We start from the raw sequence: 22,039 nt of genomic DNA, 5'->3' as shown, positions 1-22,039 counted from the left end.
TTGGTAAGAGAGCAGTTTTTATTTCAGTGGAAAGGCAGCCTCCTCTCCTAATAATAGCTACATTATTTACCTAAATGTTCCATGTAGCAACTGATAACAAGGCTTACTGCTTAAGAAATTTGGCCATCATCTTGTCCTCTCTACTAGAATTCCATCTGCCTACAGATGGGCCCTTGCTAATATTTTTTTTCTGAAGGACAACATGTAACTTAAGGGCCCACTACTGTGTGTTATTTTGTTTTTTTAATTGAGGTGAAAGTCACATAATGTAAAATTAACCATTTTGAAGTAAACCATTCAGTAATATTTAGTACATTCACAATGTTGAGCAGTCACCACATCTGTCTAGTTCTAAAACATTTTCCCCAGCCCAGAAGGAAACTCTGTATCCATTAAGCAGTTCCTTCCTATCCCCCTACTTCTAGGCTTTATAAACCTTTAATTTTAATGTTATATACACACACAGGCATACACATACATATATGCTATACACACATATGTATGTATATATGTATAATGTGTGTAAATAATGTGTAAATATAGACGTATAAAGATGTATAATGTGGGTAAATAAATGGATGTGTGTATGTGTATATACATATATGTACATGTATACATATATACGTATATATGTATACATATATGTATCTACGCACATGTATATACGTGTATACACACACACACACACATTCATGTCTATTTATAGATTAGGAAGTTCCAAACAGAGGACCTAATATTTCCTAATTATGTAAACAAAGAACTATCTACTTTAATGAATGTTTCTCCACCAGGAAAAAGAAAAATAGGAAACATTCCTTGCTTCTTTTAACCTGTCTGTATATTTCTCTTAAATTCTCACTAGATGCTAATTTATCAAGGAAGACAAAAAAGACAGAAATAATCCTGAGCCTTTTGTTGTGTAAAACTGCTGCTCTTCTTGTAAAGACATTTTCTCATTAATTTCATCAACACTGAGAATTTTAAACTGCTTCTCAATTTTAAGCAATTGTATGGGTTTTACATTTCTATTTTTGAAAATCCAAAATTATTGAACAAAGTAATTTAGTTAGCAAAGTTTACATTTCTTGGAAAGAAATATGAAAGGGTCATTCTTACTATAATTTTTATTGTTAAAGAAATTGCTGTTGTTCACATGTATTTATGCCCTCCTCATTCCGGAAGAATATTTGAGGTAGCCAGTAGCACATTTTTTTGAATTAAGAAAAAATTAGATCAAATGAAAAAATACCTAAAATTTAAATATTTAGAGAAAGCCAACTCAATTATATTTTAAATATGCCTGAAGTCGTGAACTAACTAATGTTGATCATTTAGTCTTCTGGTCCTATCTCAGGAATATTATTGCCCTTCTTAATTCATCTTTCACCTCCTTTAAGAAGTATTTCTGAATAACCCTATAGGATAACTTCCTTTACATTTCTTTAGCTCATATGGTTTATACAAAAGGCTACTCACTTTATCACATTTTCTAGTTGCTTATTGTACTTCATAAATCTCCCAACTAGTTCCTAGTGAAAATTCTGCCCTTCTAATTTTTTGTATGTAATTTACCAAAGCACCTAGCTTTGTGCTAGCTAAAAGCTCTGCTCTGAGTTAAATTAGTGAAATATTGCTGGTTGATTTCACCTAAAAGTTTGCCCCGGGCAGGAGGGAAGAGGGTGGGCATTTGAATGGGTAACAGACAGAGAAGCAGCTGATTGGACATAGATGTTGACAACTTGCATACTTATTTTTTTCATTTCAATCTGTGCCACAGAGTCATACATTTGGTAATTATTTCATGCTTTTGTTTTCAGTTGAAAGTAGTTAGGGCCATATGTTTTGACAGAAAAAAGATAATTCGTACTTTTTTTCAGCTTTATGAAAGGGAAGATGGGGTAACAATTTTACAGTGTACCATGGCAGTGATTCCTGTTCAAAACTTTACCAGATTGGAAACTCACTGTTCATAACAATTCTCTTGGTAAGCAGAAGATGAAGGCATCTGTTTAAAGCACCCAGAGTTAAGTTTGATGCTTCAAAGCACAGCAGAGTTCATTTATAACTCTACTTAGCACTATTAGATATCTTTAACAAATATGAAAAGTTGTCCACCAGATTCCTTAGACTGTAGGTGATTTGGAAGGATATTCTGGTCAAGTGCTAACTTCTGACTGAGGATTTCAAATGAAAAGACCTAGGTTATAACCCCATTCCTGCCCTTACTCTGTCTTGTGACTCATGGAAAAGGAAGGCACTTAACCCGCTCCAAGCTTATGTTCCTGAATGTATAAGATGGGTAGCATGGTTGACCACTTAGACAGATAATCCATCTCAAAATGATGATTAAAGAAGATAATGGATGAGAAAAGTCCTTTTGATTTAAAATACTATGAAGATGTGAACTTTTAATAATGACTAATGATAGAATTTTGTCAAATTTGCTTTACGTAATTAAGTTCAAGATCAAAGAATATATCTAGAGAAGTACCTATGTATTTTGTGAAATGTTTCTTTGAGTATTATTATTATCATTTTATGTCTGTTAGAATCTTGGCCTCACTGTCTTTTCATTCTTGCTTGAATGTCGACTCTTCAAAGTGTGACTTTCTGCTTGTGTCTGATGCAACTTTCTTCCTGATCGCTCTTGCTTCCTGAGAAGGAATAGGTACTTAGGAATGATGGCTTTTTGGCTGTCTGTGCTTATTAGGTACAAACACAGCACTAAAGACATTTGGGACTGGAGAAATAAGAAGAGCGCCTTTAGGGTTGTATGCAAAAGGTCAAACTATAATGTAGTTAGCATTTTTCTTTGTACTGCTTTCCCTTCTTGTAACAACCTCTCAATACCCTCATACCTTCTCTGCTTTCCAGAAATGCTTTCTAAAAATTGATTATTGGGAAAAGATCTGAGACCTCATTGCCCTGAAGTGTAATTACTGCTGACAAACTGTGACAGCATTTCCCAAAGACAGGGAGTGATTGGAGATGTGATGAAAAGTGGGTTTGTGACTGTGGAAACTCTTTCAGGGATGTAGGCTTTTACCCCTCTTGGTAATGTACCTTGACAAAAGTCTGCAGCAATGAAATTAACTTGTTCACTCCAATCGCATCTAAAGTTATTTGAGCTTAAGTCCTTTCTTAAGGATGTCAGCTTTAGGCTTCAGGCATCAACCTGTGGACTAGAATTCAAAGGGAAAAGGGTAGGGAATGGTGCTCTTAAAATCTTTAGGACCATTATAGGTAATTCCATATCCTAAAGAAAGCTCAGCCCTAAACACATTAGAGAAGTGGAATGCACTAAAATATATTTTGGCAGAACCAATGAATGTTTATCTTTCTCTGTGTTATGATGTTATTCTTAGTTTGACGTGTATCCCATGTGTGGTGTGTTTATTCATTCATGCATGCATGCACTTAGTAAAGTTTTGAGCCTATTCTGTGCCCGGCATTACATGCACACACACATATGTCCAAGCACACCTGCACATTTTTTTTTTTTTGGTAATGCCTTTTTTACCTTATTGTTTCTGCAACTGGCTATCCTTAGCAGGCCTTCTTAATGTACAATAGGGTATAGAAGAAATAACAATCAACATTGGAGTAAACCTAAAATTAATTTCTGTCTTTATTGTAGAGTCATAGAATTTGTTTTCCTCTGGAAGATGTGCTGCCCTCATTTAATTGATAAAACAGTGCTTTCAGAGGTCACAAAGCTATTTTTTGGCAGATATAACCAAACCTATTTTGATGTTCCAGCACCTCCTAATGAAGCAGTAGTCGTCATCTAAAACAAAAAGCAGTCGGTTGCTAAAGGAGGAGAAAGTGTTGAGATGTGAGATGATCTGTTAGACATAATTGACAATCATGAATTTGATATGATAGGTGTAAACAGAGATAGAAATAATTTAGTTACATCTGTTTAAGATTTAAGATAACCAGAAGCAATAATGTTTAATTGAAATAATATATCAGGTTCTCCTTAACATTACCTTGAATTTCTTCACATGCACATCAATGCATTTGGTAAATAAAAGTTTGGAAACAACTTAGTTAAGTGTTTAGAACATATTAGAGTTGTGATGTGCTTAGCATCCGCAGTCTTTTATCTGTGCCAACCCTGAGCCTGGTAATGAAGCCAACTCCCACATGAATAAGTAACATAAGGAGTGTAACCAGGAAGAAGTCAGGGTTTCACCTGGACCAAATTTTAGGCAATTAAGTGTTTCAAGAGATCTTTAGCCAGGTGTAACTTAATCAGTTTAAGGCACTCTCAGCTAGGGCCAAGGTACTCATAATGTTGGCAGTGGGCATTCGTCTGATACACCACGTTGAAAGTAATAGGAAACATAGAGTGTCTGCTCAGTTATTGCCAAGAGCAAGAGAAATGCAGGTGTAAAAATATAAAGAAGTATTTGGAGCCAGAGGCTAGTACACATAGACAAGACTGTATTTACACTTGGCTTTAATAGTTCAGATAATAACATGGTGGTTTTTAATCAGTTTAGTGTGCTGATATTTAGTCGTGGGTCTGGTTTCACCACTAAACCCTAGTGTAACTCTCAGCCGGTTACTTAGCCTCTCTCTGTCTCTAGTAATATTAAACAAGTGTATTAATACCTGCTGCATCTTAGCTCAACTTCATGTCTGGAAGACAGATGAATGGTCCTGCTTCTTGCAGTAACACACAAGAACCTCCTTTGTGCTGCCCTGACTGAGATGATCTTGTGTTCTTCTCTACGGGCAAAACAGCCCTAGGCTGCTAAATGGCCAGGCAGTATAGGGGACTTAGGACTCTACAAAGCTGGGTTTTGGTAGGAGTCCATGAGCACCGCGGAGAGAATTCTTAGTTATCAGGAGATACGGTTGTAGTACTTAAAAACTCAAACTCCAAAACAAGACTACGTGGTTTTGAATCTCAGTTTTGCCAGTTTATTAGCTGTGTGACTTTAAGCAAGTTGCTTAACCTCTCTGTGCCTCAGATCCCTTAGCCATAAAATTGGGATGATCATGCAACAATAGGATTAGTATGTAAGCAAAATGAGTATATGTACAGTTTGGCTGCAATAGAGCTGATAGGTGTAAACAGATATAAATAATGACTTCTTTTCTGAAAATGACTTCTTTTCTGTTTTTCTCGTTGGTGATCCCTGCTTATGTCACTGGGATGGCTGCGGGAATTCAGTAGGATAATATTGGAAAATAGCTTAAATCTCAAATGTTCTATAGCTATGATAACATCACTATGACGTCATAGCAGAGTGAGTCCACTCACATCTCTCCTGGCAGTTTTGCTGCCTCAGAGTTGGAATAATAACTCACTGAAAATACTTCCAAAATAGTGAGCCACTCTGCAGATTTAATTTGTAATATTATTCTTTCTAATTATTAGTGGCTCTGTCTTAAGTTCCTTTGTTTTAATTGAAGCAGGGTTTTTTTTCCCCCTTGTAAATTTCTATACATGTCAAAGGCTACCAACTCATTTTTATTTAGAGTTTGAAATTTGATTTGAAAAATATACTGCAGCCAGCTATATGAAAAACATAAGAGGATATTGTTGACTTTTGATGAAGGGAAGAAAGAACAAGGTAGAGCTGCCTAGCCATGAAGAACGCCAGGGTTTTTGTAACCCCTGGTGTGCTTTGCACGCAGAAGGCACACACTTAAATTGGCATGGCTCACTTTTTTTACTGTGCCTTTGCTGAGCTTGCTGCAGGCTGAGTGCACTGGTAGAGGAGTGCAGGGCTGTGTTCTGGCCATCCCTGCCTGCTCAGGCCTCTCCTGCTCCTTTGTGGATCGCCCAGGTCTCTGCTGCTTCCTGGTGCCGTCTCCTGGATCCTCTTGACATTTTTCCGTTCTGTAATTTGATTGACAGTTACAGACAAGGAAGGGGACTGAAATTCTTACCGTTTTGTGACTTCCTAAAACGGGAAAGGAAATTTGGTGAATGAGAAGGGGAAAACGCCTCTTGGCTGAAATTATTTACAGGATTTAGCCCCAGGTTTAATGTACTCATGAATGAATAATGACTCAGCTGATATTTAGAAGCCGGGAAAATTATGCGATTTTTGTGATGGGGTGTATAGATATGGATGTATACTTGAAGTGGTTTGTGTTCTAAATATATTAACATGCTCAGGGAATTTCTTTTTGGGGAAATACATATATTCTTTTTCATAGATTTTTGTGGTGCATTCTGGTAGACGGAAGATGGGTCATTGCTCAGTTAGTAAAAATGAAATATGAATATCATACACATAAGTGGTACATTTTACACTTTTTGATAGTTGTGAAATACTCTTTTTTTTTCAGACTACCAATAAAGAGAATTTGAGGAGTAAAACTCTTCTTACCATGAATTGTTTTGGGGCACTTAGAACTATTTAGTTAATTCTTTTAAATACTCCAACTGATTTAGATAGAATAAAAGTGTCACAATTTTAACAGCTTACACCAGTGAAATGTTTCCACTTATAAGAAATACCCTCTTATTTGTCAGCATACTGAAGACATATATGTGTTATTTCTAAGCACATTTCCTATTTATGTGATAATGGAGATCGCCCTTTAACCATCACTTGGACGTGAAGGAGGATTCTTCTTCCTCCATTAGTAAATATTCCTTGACTTGATAATACTGAAAATATGTGAGGTGAATGAGCTTTAATCCTGTGGTTTGGTTTGGTTTTTGGTTGTTTGCAGTCTTGGACTGTTCACCTGCACTGTCTTGTGCCTTTGAGTATGATTAACTGCCTTGACGCCTTACAGTGCATTACACAACTCTACTTCTTCCATTTCTTGACTAATCTCTCATGCTGTTTGACTGCCCATTGGAATCTTTAAGTTAGCTACTTAGGAAAGACTTTAGGAAGGAGAATGCTAAGAGAACTGGCAGAGAAGTCAGGAGCCTGGGCTCTGTCCAGGCCCTGGCGTAAGTCCTTTCACCTCTTCCTTTGACTCCTTTACAAAATGAAGTTGAACTCATTCGAGCTTTAAAAAGATGACGCCAAGAGGCAAGACAGAGGGCAGTAGATGTGAAAGTAACATGAAAGAGAAAGGAACATCTGAAAAAAAAAAAAAGGTAGAAAAAGATTTTGACAAATAGTACTAAAAACAAAGAATATAGAATAGAGAGACCCAATTATACTGATAATTACAATTATCAGTATTGTAAAAACTACAGCAAAAAAGCTAAAAACATATTCAGCTTTTATTGTCCATAAAAAGTGATCACACCATGTCTAACTGTAATTCGTTTGTCAAAAACACTAGAGGCCAAGGACTAAATTGCGGATTAAGAGTTTCTTCCTTTTATTTCCTGCATATCCAGAAACCTGGGGTCATAGATACTCTTCCATGGTGTGTTGTTTGGCACAACTTGCAAGTATTTTGGCAGATGGTTAGAAAAAAAGACTTTAAGAAATATGCAATAGTACTCAGGACTCTAAATATAATAAATAAAGCTAAGATACCAGTATCCTGCCATTCATTACAATCAACATTTATTGAACAGCAGTTATATGCCAGGTAGCAGGGATACCTAGAACTTGCCCCTCCCACTAGCACTCCAGAAGAGTTCCTGCTTTCCCAGCCTAAAGCAACAGCAAGTCTTACATGAGCTAGGCTTACTGTGATAGCTGTCCTGACGGCGAGTGGCAAACATGGCCCAGTGCCTTCCTCATGGATGAACATGACTCTACACTGGGACTCCCCGGTAGACCTTTTTGTGATGATGAGAAAGTCCTGTGTTGGTGATGTTCAGTATGGTAACTAGTGACTGTATGTGCTGTTGAGAACTTGAAATATGGCTACTGTGACTGAGGGACAGAACATTTAATTTTATTTAACTTTGGTTGAGTTTAATTCAAATAACTACATATTACTAATGGCTACTGATTGGACAGCAGCTTTCTAGACCCATTGTTAAAAATAATTATAAGCAATGAGTACCTCTTATGAGATAGAATTAATAATCCCATTTATTGAGGGCCCATGACAGATTAAGAATTATGTTTGACATATATTATCCCTAATCCTCACAAGAATGGTTCATTTGACAAATAAGATAACTGAAGTTCTGAGAGATAAATTGCTTTGTTATGTCCTCGCAAGGAATTGTGAGAGCTGGAATTTGAACCTAATTGGTCAGACTCCAGAGCTGGGTGATTTCTAGTAATCTGCCAAATCTGTGTATGTACTGTCCGGATGCTGTGTCTTCTGAGTACATCTTCTCCTTGCTTTATGGATTAGTTAGCAATGTCTTTATCTTGGTCACATAGGACAGTTACAGGGTCCATCTTATCTCTTCTGAATATGGACGTATCACTGCACTGGAACCATTCATTTTTCTTACTGAGGCCTATGTCCTTCAAAAAATATTAAGAGTTGAGGGTCCAACCCAGCTTCTTGAGTAGTAAGCTAATCACCTACAAGTATATTTCCCCAGTAGATGCTGAGAGAAGCATCAAAGTACATGGGTAGTTCTGTGGACATCAGTGGCACTCAGTAAACTCTTGGCATTTGAGTGTTTAACTGTCACAGTTGAGGATATCTGTGAACTCTCCCAAGGCCTGAGTCACTGAATGAGCCCAGCCAGTACTTGGGCGTCTGTGGCTCCATTCTGCTTTGCTGTTTTCTGCTTTCCATGGAACATACAGTAACTCTCTTGAAGGGTCTGAAAGCCTCAATTACAACGTTTCAGTGATTCTGAACTGATTTTTCTTTGGAAAGTATATATGCAGATGGTACTTGCAGAATCACCAGGGGGTAGTAACGTGGAGGAGTGGTAAAGGTCTACTGGACAATCAGGTGGCTACCACCCAACCACACATGGTGATGTGATATGAAGCCACTTTTCTTTATTCCTTCAGATTTAAGGTTTCCCCTTCAGGAAGCAGGTTACTTAACAAGTACTTGATTTCACCATAACATGCATTATGACATTATCTTTTTTTCTTTTTTCTTTTTTTTTTTTGAGACGGAATCTTGCCCTGTCGCCCAGGCTGGAGTGCAATGGCACGATCTCGGCTCACTGCAACCTCCTTCTCCCAGGTTCAAGCAATTCTCCTGCCTCAGCCTCCTGAGTAGCTGGGATTACAGGTGCATGCCGCCACACCTGGCTAATTTTTTGTATCTTTGGTGGAGATGGGGTTTCACCATGTTGGCCAGGCTGGTCTCGAACTCCTGACTTCGTTATCCACCCACCTCAACCTCCCAAAGTGCTGGGATTACACGCATGAGCCACCGTTCCTGGCCGATATTTTATTTTCTTAAAAGGTCATTATCAGATGCCACAAGAGTATTTCTATAAACTATGACCCAAGTATAGCCTAATGTTAATAGCTTAAAATAGGTTTTATTTACCTTTTTTGCCCTTTAAAAGCAAGGAATTATTTTTTAATGGAAAGAACATAGACTTTGATGATCAGTTCACATCCTTGCTTTACCCCTTGAAAAATGTGCAACCTGGAAAGACAGCTTAACATTCCTGAGTCACATTTGTCCAAATAATACAAACAATGGCAACAAGACTTCAGCACTAATGTCTGATGTTTTTTGTATGATTAATCTGTGCCAGGTTCCATTCTAGTTTCTTTACACACATTATACCATCTAATTCTCACAACAACTTTGCATAGCAGGCATTGTCATTTCCACTTTACAAGCAGGAATCTGAGGACCAGAGTTAAAAGTAACTGGTCCAAGATTGCCTAGTTAATAAATGGTGGAATTTGCAGTCAGACCCAAGCTGGTTTGGGCCAATACACTTGACCTTCTTATGATACGTCAGCCTTGTGAAATAGGGCAGATACTATTAATAATATCCACCTTGTGTGATCATTATGAAGGTTAGATATAATGTATGTGGAACTCTTGCCACCAAAGTGGTTCCACAAGAGGCCCTAAACAAATGAGTAATCATTATTATTTTAAAATGTCCGTAAGTGAAACCGATATGCCAAGACCAGTAAAAATGAGAGCTTCTTAAGGAAAAGAGTAGGAGGCATACCTTTGTTTCATTTTGTTTGTTGGTTTCTGTGCTTGCTTTTTGTTCTTTTCTGTTAGGCACAGGTTTTATTTAGAATAAATTAAATTTTTTTTTCTTTGATGAGTGCAGAAATAATAGTTGGAAACATTGAATGGAACAGCTAATGTACCATAGTAATACTTCTTGGATTACCAAAAAAAAAAAAAATTAAATCTGTAAAATGAAAACATTTTTGTTTACTTTGGTCAGTTCAAGGTTCAGTGTTATCTAGAGATTTTTGTTAAACTCAGGATTTCTATATGTATGATTGTCTGCTAAATTCAGAATTAGAAGAGAAGAGATAATGGCGCTAACTTTGCATGTTAAATATACTGTGTTACTAGTTTTCCATGAAGTTTTTACTCAACAAATAGGTTACTAAAAGAGCTGTGACCTATGAGTTTCACCAAGTCTTTCCATTTCCAATTCGGCAACAAAAGTTTCACACTTCTCAATTACTCTTGTGGGAGGAATCAGAATGCCAACAGTCACCTTGATCTAAGCGTATTATTGGAGAAAAATTCAAGGATAGATATTTGTTTCTCATTAGATTTTCCTCATATTTTATCATTGGGGTCACTCTAGTACATGGTACTAGAATTTGGGATTTTTATTTCATTTTAGATTGGACTGATTTTCTGGTGTTAGTCATTAAAAATAATTCCAACTCTTTGAAGAGATCTGGGATGTTTGTTATTATTCTATTGATTAAATAAAGCTATTTTATTTAACAATTGTGTTGTTAAACTTTCTATATACTTAGAATAATAATACTAAAAACTGAATGGGTATGAGCTTTTCTTATTGAATTTAATGTCAGTATTAAATACCTTATTGAAACCCATACTTTGAAAGCTTGATTGAGAAATTGGCAAAAGAGTTGACTGAAGTAAAAGTAATGAAGCAGTTCACTGGTCATCCAGGTTATGAAAAATTAAACCATTAGAGATAAACTGAACTGTGAAAATTATGATCATGGTGTTTTCATAAATACCATCTATGTCTCCGCCACCATTCTAAAAAAAAGTACCCTATCAAATGGTGAAAAATAAGAGTGATGTTTCTGTGACCATTTCATTATTCAGTTTTCTTATATTTGAAATGTGGGAGGTTGAACTAAAATTTGTTGGTTCCCTTCTTTAAAAAAGTATAGTTATATGTGATATTTATTTATTTATATAAACAAAAATATAGAGATCTTACCTTGAAAATAACTTTTGAGGTAAGAATGATAAAGTATCTAAATGGAAGATGAATAACATTGTATCTGATTTGTAAATTATGATATAAAGAAAATGTATAAAATATGTAGAAATTGTCTGTATAAAAAACTATAAACAGTGGTCCGTTGCCTATTAACAAAGAGTTTCATGTTATCTAAAAAGTCTTCAATTGGCTAAAACAGCAGAAAAATAGAAATTACATACTATAATATATCCTAAAAACATTTCAATTCCATAGATACTCTTCTCCATGCAGCCAATATTTATGAATTTGGAGTAAGTGACCTACTCTTAGATATTTGAGCTTGATTATAATTCATAGTCAAAGTAGCCTCCTTGTAAATAACCAAAATTAACCAAAGATTTTTCCTTATCTTCCAAAAGCAATGCCAAGTAATTCTATCCAAATTGGAAAAAAAAAAAGAAAAAGGATAAACCTTATTAGGTGTCATCAAATGGTGTTGACATAATGATATATATGTTTAAGGATAATGTAATAGAATATGTAATTAAAATTAAAGTATATATGAAAAGAATTGATTTTAATTGTTTTAAAACATAAGATGATTTAATAATATGGGTCGGAGATTCTTTTTAGTTTTATAATAAATATATTGATTTCTGAAATTTGGGTATATTCCATAGTACACTTAGCTTATGTTAATACTGAGGCCAGATTGCTGTCAGGCTAATAGCGTGTAGATATATTATAGTCACACTACAATCATTCCGTCAGTTTTCAGTTTCCCTTTTTCCTGTGATGTTTCTTTCATCTTGTTAGATTATTCTCAAGACCTTCTCTAAATACCTTCAGTAGTAATTCACAAACTCTTTGTTAGTTAATAGTTCTCAAGAAAATTCTGAGATGTGGTTGACAGAACTTAGATCATTGGTTTGTTTTTGGATTCCTAGCCAAAGTTTTATTCTTTGTTTCTTAAAAATACTCAAAAAAGTTTTTTTTCCTTATTGTAAGCCCTCTGGAAATAGAAGCAAATCACTGTTTATACATTTAAAATGTGATGAAAATTACAAAATAAAGTCCAGTGAAATATAGGGCTTGTATCCATTAGTGCCTTAAGAAAAATCCCTGTTTTCTGAAGTGCGAGTGGGCTTTTCTGGTTTGTTTTTGTTTTGTTAAAGCTCCAGGACCTCCCAATTTTCAAGGGCACTTTGGGGCATGTGTAGCATTTATTTGATGTATGGATGTAGATGCATATTTTCCCACATCTGTCTCTGTGGACCTATCCTTTGTGAAATCCTAAACCTTGTATTAATGCTTAGTTTATGATTCATGGTGTTCTGAGAGCAATTATATAATTTTTCTGGGGTGTTTATTCGATGTGCACTGTAAAAAAAAATGAGAGTTATTTTTTGGTAACCCTGCACTTGCCTTTTTATTGGTGAATTTCTTTTCCTTTTACTGTGACCTGTGAATATCACTGTAGGCTCACTGCCAATTTTGTGAGCCGCTGCCTGCTTCAAAATGGAGGCAGGAAGGTATCCATTTTCATCAAGAGGATGACAGTGTTTCAGTCTTTCTGACCATCTGGAGAGAGGAACTTTGAGAGCAAAAGAAAATGGGGATTAAAAAAAATTATATTTAGCAGAAAAGGCAAGGGGGAAAACCAATTAAAGTTAAACTATACCTTATGAATTTGTGCTTTTCTACTATGCTGTCCTGTTTAAAAAAAACATAAACAAGAAAATACACAGGCTATTTGTATAAAGAATTGGTTTCCCAAGTCTCATGAGTATTAGTAAATGAATGTAAGTAAATTAGGTTTTTGGCACACTTTTTAAGTTTATTGTACACACAAATATAATAAGCATGAAAAAGGAGGGCTCCCTCCTCCCGCTTCCTATGCACACACTGATTGTTGGTGGTCTTATGTAGATCCAGGCTTTTAATGGCCTTTTTCATGCATCTCTGCAAAAAGCTGACACTATGGGAATTTAATATTCTAAGATATATTTATCACTTTCTGTGGTTTGGATAGTTCATTTGTGTTCTCTCTGTCTCCCCCCTCCCTACCTCCTCTCTGTAAAAGTGAAAATTTTAATTGAAAGGTAGAGTTTTTACTCTACCATTTGAAAGAGGTTTGATGCATGTCTTTCTGTTTTTACCATTTTCACATGCTTATGGGCCATCTGTGTTTAGAAGAAAAAGAAAGAAGTGCTTAGACTCACAGGATTACCCTATGGGCATTATACAGTGTATTTACAACTAGACATGGTTTACATCAACTGGAATATAACACACCTGGTTATTTTCTGTTCGCACAAATACACCGAGCTTTTGTTTCGTTTTGTTGTGTTTGTTTTAGTGTGTTCGGAAAGGGCACTGTTTCTAGGGTTTGTTCAGATTTAAACTGGAAAGGGTAGAAATGTAGCACTTTCTGCCTACTTCTTATATAAGAATGGAGCTTGGGCTGCTGTGGTCAATGCAAAAAGCAAAACTCAGTTGGTTCTTTCTCCTCAGGTCTATGCTCCATCAGCAAGCACTGCCGACTACAATAGGGACTCGCCAGGCTATCCTTCCTCCAAACCAGCAACCAGCACTTTCCCTAGCTCCTTCTTCATGCAAGGTAAGATGCTGCTGCTTCTGAGGGAAAGGCCACTGGATAGCATTTTCCTGGGTCACTTAATGTCACAGATGGGGCAGAAGAAATGGAATAGTAGGCAAGTGTAGAATTTTTGAAGTCATGCTCTTCTTAGGAATTGAATTCCTTAAAAATTGATGTATTAATTAAAACTGTACTAAGTCTTTCTTTACAATTAAACCCCTTTAAGCAGTAATGGGTTAAGATTAGATTGATCTGCTTCACTTAGAGCCGATGCTTATGATGGTCTTCCACTCATGACCAACCATTTCAGCATCTTCACCATCCCCAAGACGATGTAGCTGTTTGTTTAGAAGTGGTTCAGCTCCATGTATGTTTTGAACATCCTGGATTTAGCCAACTGGGAACAAGTTGGCCTAATGTATAACCTTATGTAAAATTTTCACCCACTTACTAATTTGTAGGTAAGAACAAGGGTCCAAGATGAAGTAACCTACCACAGACTGGAATATTACATGGTGAAAGCTCTGTCCCAACATAGTAACTGGTTTAGGATAAAAGGCCCAACTTTTGGGGGAGAAGACAAATATAGGAAATTATGGAATTGTCCAGTATGTTTAAATACATGGATGTGTGCCCCCACCCTGAGCTTGTAGTCTTGCTACTGATAGCGTATACCTTTCTGCTGCTCAAAAAAGACCAAGATGTGGCCGAGTGCGGTGGCTCACGCCTGTAATCCCAACACTTGGGAGGCCAAGGCAGGCAAATCACAAGGTCAGGATATCAAGACCATCCTGGCCAATATGGTGAAACCCTGTCTGTACTAAAAATACAAAAAATTAGCCAGGCGTGGTGGTGGGCACCTGTAGTCCCAGCTACTCGGGAGGCTGAGGCAGAAGAATGGCATGAACCTGGGAGGCAGAGCTTACAGTGAGCTGAGATTGCACCACTGCACTCCAGCCTGGGCAACAGAGCGAGACTCCATCTCAAAATAAATAAATAAATAAATAAACAAACAAATAAATAAATGAATTTTTTAAAAAGACCAAGATGTTTGAAATGATAGCAGCTACTTCAAGAATGAACCACTTGGAGGATGCCCCTAAGGGCTCCATCCTGATATGTGTGTGGCACTTATTTTCTAATGTAATTATCTTGTTACCAAGTTAATGCCCTGAATTTAGATGTGGAATTTACCAAGAACCCCTGTGTGCAAAATGTTAACTCTTTTTGCCCAGGTGTGAAAACCTTATTTGTATAAGCCTTGTCTACGGGCCATGGGGTTTCCTTCTTTATGCATCTCTAGGAAGGGCCATGTCACAGGAAGGGGAGCACATTTGGGGCAAAGAGTACCAGGGAAGCAGCCTGATATAGTGGACACACTCAAAATCATTCTCATTAAAAGATACTAATCTTCCTTCCCTTCAGTGTGTTAGCTCTTTTAGTTTGTTAGTTCACGTGTGAAATTCCATGGAAATCTATAAAATTGGATGGAATGGCTCTGTTAGGAATAGAGAGAATTTGTTCCACGCATAATAGAGCCCGTGTGTCAGAAGTCCTTTAACTTTGTGACCCGTCCTAGGTGTAACTCAAAGGGACACAGCAGGCTATGTCACCTGGGTGCGTTTTGTGCCGTGACAAAAAGCTAATCACCTTCAGTTATAAACAGTAGCTACCTCAGCATCAGTCCCCTGTTTTGTGAGCAGTGGGAGATATTGTCCTACAGGAGCTTACAGAGATTGGCAACTCAAGGATCCATCACTCAAAACAGATTTCGATTGAAAACATTGACGGAAGGATATATTTTTTCTATCTGCCCAGGAAAGTGGCTTTCTGGAAGGGTGCACATTGCAGGAGAGGCCAGGTAGATTATATCAGTAGGCTCCTTTCCCTAGCAGACCACACAAAATATGGGGAACAAATTTGTTTATCTGCATATGCATACCCGAAAAGCAAAAAAAAAAAAAAAAAATTGAGTTGACATTTTTGATGAGCACAATTAATTTGCACACATCTAATTCTATTCTTTCTTTCAAAAGAACATTATGCCAAGATCATGGGATGTGATAAATATTAATTTACTGTGAAAAGCATAATTTATGTAAAATATGTATTTTTATAAGTCTGCATCAAGCAGAGTACTCTGTGTTAACAGTCCTAAACGCATTGCCACCCAGGGTATCACATTGTCAGGAGACTCTTGTTTAGTGATATATGTTTTCAATTTATTTGTCATATGTGCCATCTATTTAAAATGTTAGTGATCTTGAACTTCATATTTGAATTTAAGGTGACATTTAAACCTCTGTAATCTAAGGACTAAAGCTCAAGTACATGAATGATAACTTTAAAAAAAATCATGTGTTTTCACATGATGGCCACAGAAACAGTTGCATCATGGTCCTGTCCCACATCAGCTTCCTTTCAGTAGAGGGGTACTTGGTGCCCTGAGAATTCAAGACTTGAAGGAATATGCAATTAAGGTGAAAGATGTTCAGAAACTGTCTGGGGCATATTGTAAACTCACTACTGTGGCCTCTTATTTGTAACTTCAATTTCCATCTTCTAGTTAAAACTCTGAAGTTGTCAAAATCACAGACATGATTTTGCTTGCATGGTTCTTAAAGAGAGGAATCTGCAAACTATTCCTCCCAATATGAAATGAGTCCAGTTACAAAATTCTAACTTCCGGATTTAAGAACTCAATGAAAAAGAGCTTCACGAAATACAGTGTCAGATTTAACTTTTCTATTGCCTAACTTTTTAATAGGCCTTTACTATATAAAATGTTATGGTGAAAATAATCTTATTTTCAAGGAAGCAATATCTGCTATACATTTAACAGCCAGCTGATGGCCTAGTGTATACCTAGTACTCAATACTTTTTGTTAAACTATTGAAACAAAGAAAAAATGAATGAATTTAGCAGTAATGTAGATCATCTTTTCCCTTAGGCTTGGGAAACCAAACCTAAACATTAGCAATCATTAATAATAACCTGTAGGCCAATAGGCCCAGAGAATGAAAAAATCCGTAGGGATGTTTTTAATAAGAATGTTAACAAAAGGTTAACCTTATGTTGAAAGATACTTTATATAATTTTAAACCTCTATAATTCATAAATCGTTTTATAAAATCCAGAGACTCTCAAAAATATCTGTAATATAATAGCTACCTAGGGCATGTTTGTACCCTTTGGATTGCTACTGAAGGTTTAAGATAGCTATATACCTATACACCAAAAAATAAAAATAAAATATCCTAAGAACTATATATTTGAGATTCATCTTCTCTGCATGCCGTAATATAATTATAATTCCAACTTTAATTCTATTTATTGTATATGTTAAAAATGAAATTAAACATTTTCAATCTGAGATTTTTTAAAATTAATACTTCTTTACATGCTTTTAAAACTTGTCAACTTTGTAATTTCTCAAGTACTTTTCACCCCAAAGTTTAGGAACAATTTAACTTTTTAGTTGGTTTTCATAGAAAAAACAGTTAGAAGACTTCTAAGAAATGTTTCCTTTAGCAGTAATTACCTTGCGACTTGACATAATTCATGGTAGAAATATACTCTGTTGTTCTTTTACAGTTCAATTTTTACCAAGAACACTTTAACTTTTTTAAGTGTTTATATTTGTTTGACAATATAGAGCCACTTGGGAAGAAATGATGACTGTCTTCTGATGTAATCAGCTAACCAACACAAAGATGAATAACACAACAGGCAGTCATTTTCAAGTATATGAAAAAACCCTATTCTATAAGGCAAGGCTGAATGCCTCAGAAAGTCATGGTTGTCTTTGTCCTTTACAGATGGCCATCACAGCAGTGACCCTTGGAGCTCCTCCAGTGGGATGAATCAGCCTGGCTATGCAGGAATGTTGGGCAACTCTTCTCATATTCCACAGTCCAGCAGCTACTGTAGCCTGCATCCACATGAACGTTTGGTAAGGCAGACATACACGGTAACGGGAATGTCACAGCTAGTTGATTAAACCTCGTCCTCTGTCTTTCCATGCATATACACAAGGACTCTGCAAATAAGTGCAAAAATGGCACACACCCATTATTCTTAAGTTGTATTGTTTCTGTGATCAAAGACATAACAGGTTCAAATCACCTTTGTAAATTCTTCCAGATTCTCTCTGGCATTGTTCTTTTGTTTATTGTGTTTTGCTCTGTGCCTTCTTTATCACAATGTCAGCTTCCTTGGGTACATAAATAGATACCTATTTAAGTTGTAGAATCTTAACATGGTGGTTCCTGGTTTTTTTTTTTTTTTTTTTTTTTCTATCTGTAGTTTCAAAAGATGTACTGCAGAGGGCAGAGTGACAGTCGGTAGATTATATGCATCACCCAGGAGCATTTCATTTCCCATTGACTGGCCTATGTCAGCTTTGGCCTGTTGTGATGTATCCAAAAGAAGGAGTTTGTATTTTCTGTAGACTTCCATCAGTAAGAGAAACCATGAGGTTTCTACATAGATCAGATTCCCATTTTTCAGTATTTTAACTTTAATTCCCATCCCAGCCTGCCACTCATACTGTGTTTTGCGTCACTCCAGGTGAAAACTGGTGGGCTCTAGAATGTTAGGTCTTTCATTACTAAACATTTCCACTCTGTCCATCACCTACATTCATCTATCATAGTATGTCTCTTTATCCTGGAGGAAACAACTCAGCTGACTTTCTTCTAGCCTTAAATATCACCACAGCCCAGAATCCACTGTTGAACTTAAGTCTGTCATTAAAGAGAGGAAAGAGCCTAGATCTTGAGTGAGATTTGGGATGCAGATAAGATGAAACTTGAATCCCTTGTGCAAGAACATAGCTTAAACAATATGTGGACCTCACATCCTACAAATGCGAAAGCATATGGGAAATCCAGTGATCCCAGGTGATACTTACATCACTACTATTCATCTTGCATTTGCCCCTTTTTCTTCTTCTCATATCTACACTTAGGTTTCTTTCTCTGTTCTGATAAAGGAAATCATTCTGGATTCATGTGGTCTTTGCTCTCTTTTGCTCAACCAGTACAGATAAGAAACAGGATCTGATCTCCTACTCCAATAATCAAAAAAATTCCAGAAGTTAAGATTTCTGATATCCTTGAAAATCCGTATTTAGTTGGTCCTAGTGGTAGAGATGCTAAGTAGTCAATTAGCCTATACATTCCTGAGAGGCAGACAGTGGAAATGGTATTGGCCTTTTTGTATCACCTCCCAAGATTGAATGTGTAAATCACAAACTATCTCACATTTCAGCACATTTCCAGTAAATAGCAGATGACTTATTTTCAAATTTTCTCTTTTCCCACCTCCTATTTGGAGATATTAGAGTGAAAGCTTAGAGAAATATCAACTATATCAACTATTATTATGCTAGAATCCGTTTTGGCTAAAATTTTCATTTCTGCACCATCATTTTCCACTTCTGTGGGAACTCATGGTCAAAACTGTATGTGTCCTATGAGCAAGGAAAGTTTTGATTACAAATAAAAGTTTTAGGCACTATACCGCATGTTGGAATTTCAGTTCTTTTAAGAGTTGCCCATTTGACATTAATTTTTCTTCCCTTCTGTGTTTCTTTCTTTCTTCTCCTATCATGCTCAAGAGTTTTGAGTTAGGCGATTTGATTTTATCCTAGTCCAGTTCACTGCATGGGAAGTAGCTTTAAAATGTGCTTCCATGCACAAAAAGTATAATTTCAAAATGGAAACCAACTATATTCCTTTTAGAAAAAATTTTACAGAACCAAAACAATATTATGAACTAGAGAGAAAATATCATTTTGAAGTAGTAACCCAGTAGGCTATATCAGAAGCCATATTTGCAATGCCATTTACCTATCACGAAACACAGGATTTTCATTTTTCATCTGAACAGTTAACAGATTTCAGAGAGTAGAGTTTTTGTTTTAAAGGAGACATGAATAAGCTATCTTGCAATGTATACTAATGAATTTTCCCACTGTTAGTGAAACTATTGAATTATTATATCTAGTTGTCATTGTACTTTCAGTATTTAACCATGTGAAAATCTTTTACTGAAGTGACTTAGAAGAATCTGACACTGACAATACTTTGAATATATAGTAGCAGTTGGTGTCCTTTCAGTTGAAAATAATGGTAGTTCCTTATAATTTTATTCTTAGCATCTGGCTAGCCCCATACTGAACAAAGGGATAGTTTAAGAAAAAGCTAAGCGCTGTTCCTGGATTATTTGGGGTATAATTTGGCCAAGTTGATATTATCTGTAAAGATAAAATATTTTAAAAACATCATTGCCTTCATCACTTTATGCCATGTTATAACAGAATGTGTAATTATAAAGCTTAAGATCCACATATTTCAGTAGCGACTGTCAAGTTACTGATGTTTAGTCTTTAAATCCCCTTTACAGTTTTAGCCTGTCCAACAGAATCCCACAGCTAATCATTACTGTGTTACACATACCCACACAAAATCACTCAGATGAATGGAGTTTGCGGTTAAAGTTTGGAATGGGTTGTTGTAGATGATTTTATGTTTGGAATGACTTGGCAGAGTTCTTTTTAAGAACAGGATAGAGTCCTCACTGTCTGGCATGATTTAGGCATGGTCTTTGCACTACAGGGCGAAACAGTCCTAGGAGTCTGGAATTTTCCTTTAAAGGAAGTTCTGTTTTCTTTTATTTTTTTGTAACATAAACCCTTACTTCAGTAATTCTCAACTGATGGCAGTTTTTCCCTTCAGGGAACGTTTGGTGATGTCTGGGGACATTTTCATTGTTACAACTAGGGGCTAGATGCTACTGGAATCCAGTGCGTAGAGGCTAGGGGTGCTGGTAAACATGACGTCATGTATGGGAGAGCCTCCACAGCAAAGAATTGTCTGGCACAAAAGATCAGTAGTGCTAAGGTTGTGAAATCCTGCCCAAACCCAAAGCATGATTTTATTCTTATTTATGTGCACCAGTTATTATATTTTTCTAATGTTTGAATTATCAACCAGTATATCAGTAATGGAAACATTTCCAACAATTACTCTGTTAATAGACACGAAATACAGGACTCTTGGGCATCATAAGTTAAAATGAACGAATAGTGGGCATGTAAAGCCTCGCACTTTGTCACACTCCTCATGTCCTTTGTAGCAAGCAGGAAAGACAGTAATAGCTGGAGTAAGAGACTAAGAGGACCTCTTATAGTTTATCCCTAAATCCTCTAAAAGAGACATTATTCTCTGTGGTGTATTTATTACATCTCTGAATGACAGTAGTTTTCAAGATAGTTTTTAATGTAAAATAATCTAGTTATAAATCTCGTTAGTTTATTTCAACAACTAATTTTCTATGAGTCTCTAAAAATAACTGATTTACATGGATTCCATTGGTTCACTCCTTTATAATCTATGGGGATTAATTTTTCTTTTTATTCTGTGAACTCAGCGTTAACCCTTTGTCAAATCCCAAATTACTGCCCATTTTACATAAAGTTAAAAGGGCCCAAAGATTCTCACCGATGTGATTATCTGTTTTGTTTCATCTTCTGATTATTATAGTTAGTTAAATATTTATAATTCTTCTCCTCTTTTTTTGATTTTTGCACATTTCAGGCAGATTTGTAGTTCGTCTGTTCTTCAGAAATTCCACATGGAATAGGACTGTGTAGAAGTGAGGTTAAAGTTAGTCATCTCTTTTTTTGTTCTTTTTTCCACATTCTGTTTCTTTTCCTCCATTTTGTTATAGTGCTTACCTCTATAGCAGAAATACCTCTATCCCTGCTAAGCTTTCAGAATAGCTGTACTATGGAATGGGCCCACTATATTTTTCATTGGAGAAAATTCCATGGACTACCTTGGGTGTTCATTAGGTGGCAAGTAGAAATGAGTTTAACAGGTGGCCTAAGGAATTTTGGGGTCAAGGAAAGAAAGAGGTCCATGGAATTTAAAAATTTGAAAGGCATTCTCAGGAACTTGGAAAGATTTAAAGGCATCATCTCAACTTTTTTACGGAAGTCTTTTAAGTTGGGCTATTTTGGTCATACAGAGGTAATATTTTCAAAAACATTCATGCGTCTTTGAAAATCCTACCTCTAATACGTAGATTCATTTCCTTAGACTAGTTGGCTCTCAAATAAGTTATACTTCAATCCACTGTTTATTAAATTCTGACTGATAACCAATTGTTCATTGAGCGTATAGTATAATTATGTGTTCAGTAGTTAGCCACAAGTTGT

General features: G+C 36.2%; 1 protein-coding gene across 46 annotated transcripts in view; it reads left to right on the top strand.

The window, feature by feature from the left end:
* TCF4 (transcription factor 4) overlaps positions 1-22,039 on the top strand; it is a 413,773-nt gene that overhangs the window by 342,572 nt on the left and 49,162 nt on the right. For 45 of the 46 annotated variants that reach the window (NM_001243226.3, NM_001369584.1, NM_001369576.1 and 42 more), the window contains 2 exons: positions 13,730-13,835; positions 17,634-17,767. In NM_001243226.3, the coding sequence (NP_001230155.2) occupies positions 13,730-13,835; positions 17,634-17,767 (240 nt within the window). Of the gene's footprint in view, positions 1-13,711; positions 13,836-17,633; positions 17,768-22,039 lie in introns of all 46 variants that reach the window. The other variant, NM_001243228.2, reaches the window with a different exon arrangement.

The sequence above is a fragment of the Homo sapiens genome, chromosome 18, assembly GCF_000001405.40.
Source record: "Homo sapiens chromosome 18, GRCh38.p14 Primary Assembly".
Taxonomy (NCBI): domain Eukaryota; kingdom Metazoa; phylum Chordata; class Mammalia; order Primates; family Hominidae; genus Homo; species Homo sapiens.
Note: the sequence above shows the minus strand (reverse complement) of the source record. Positions and strands in the feature narration are given on the sequence as shown.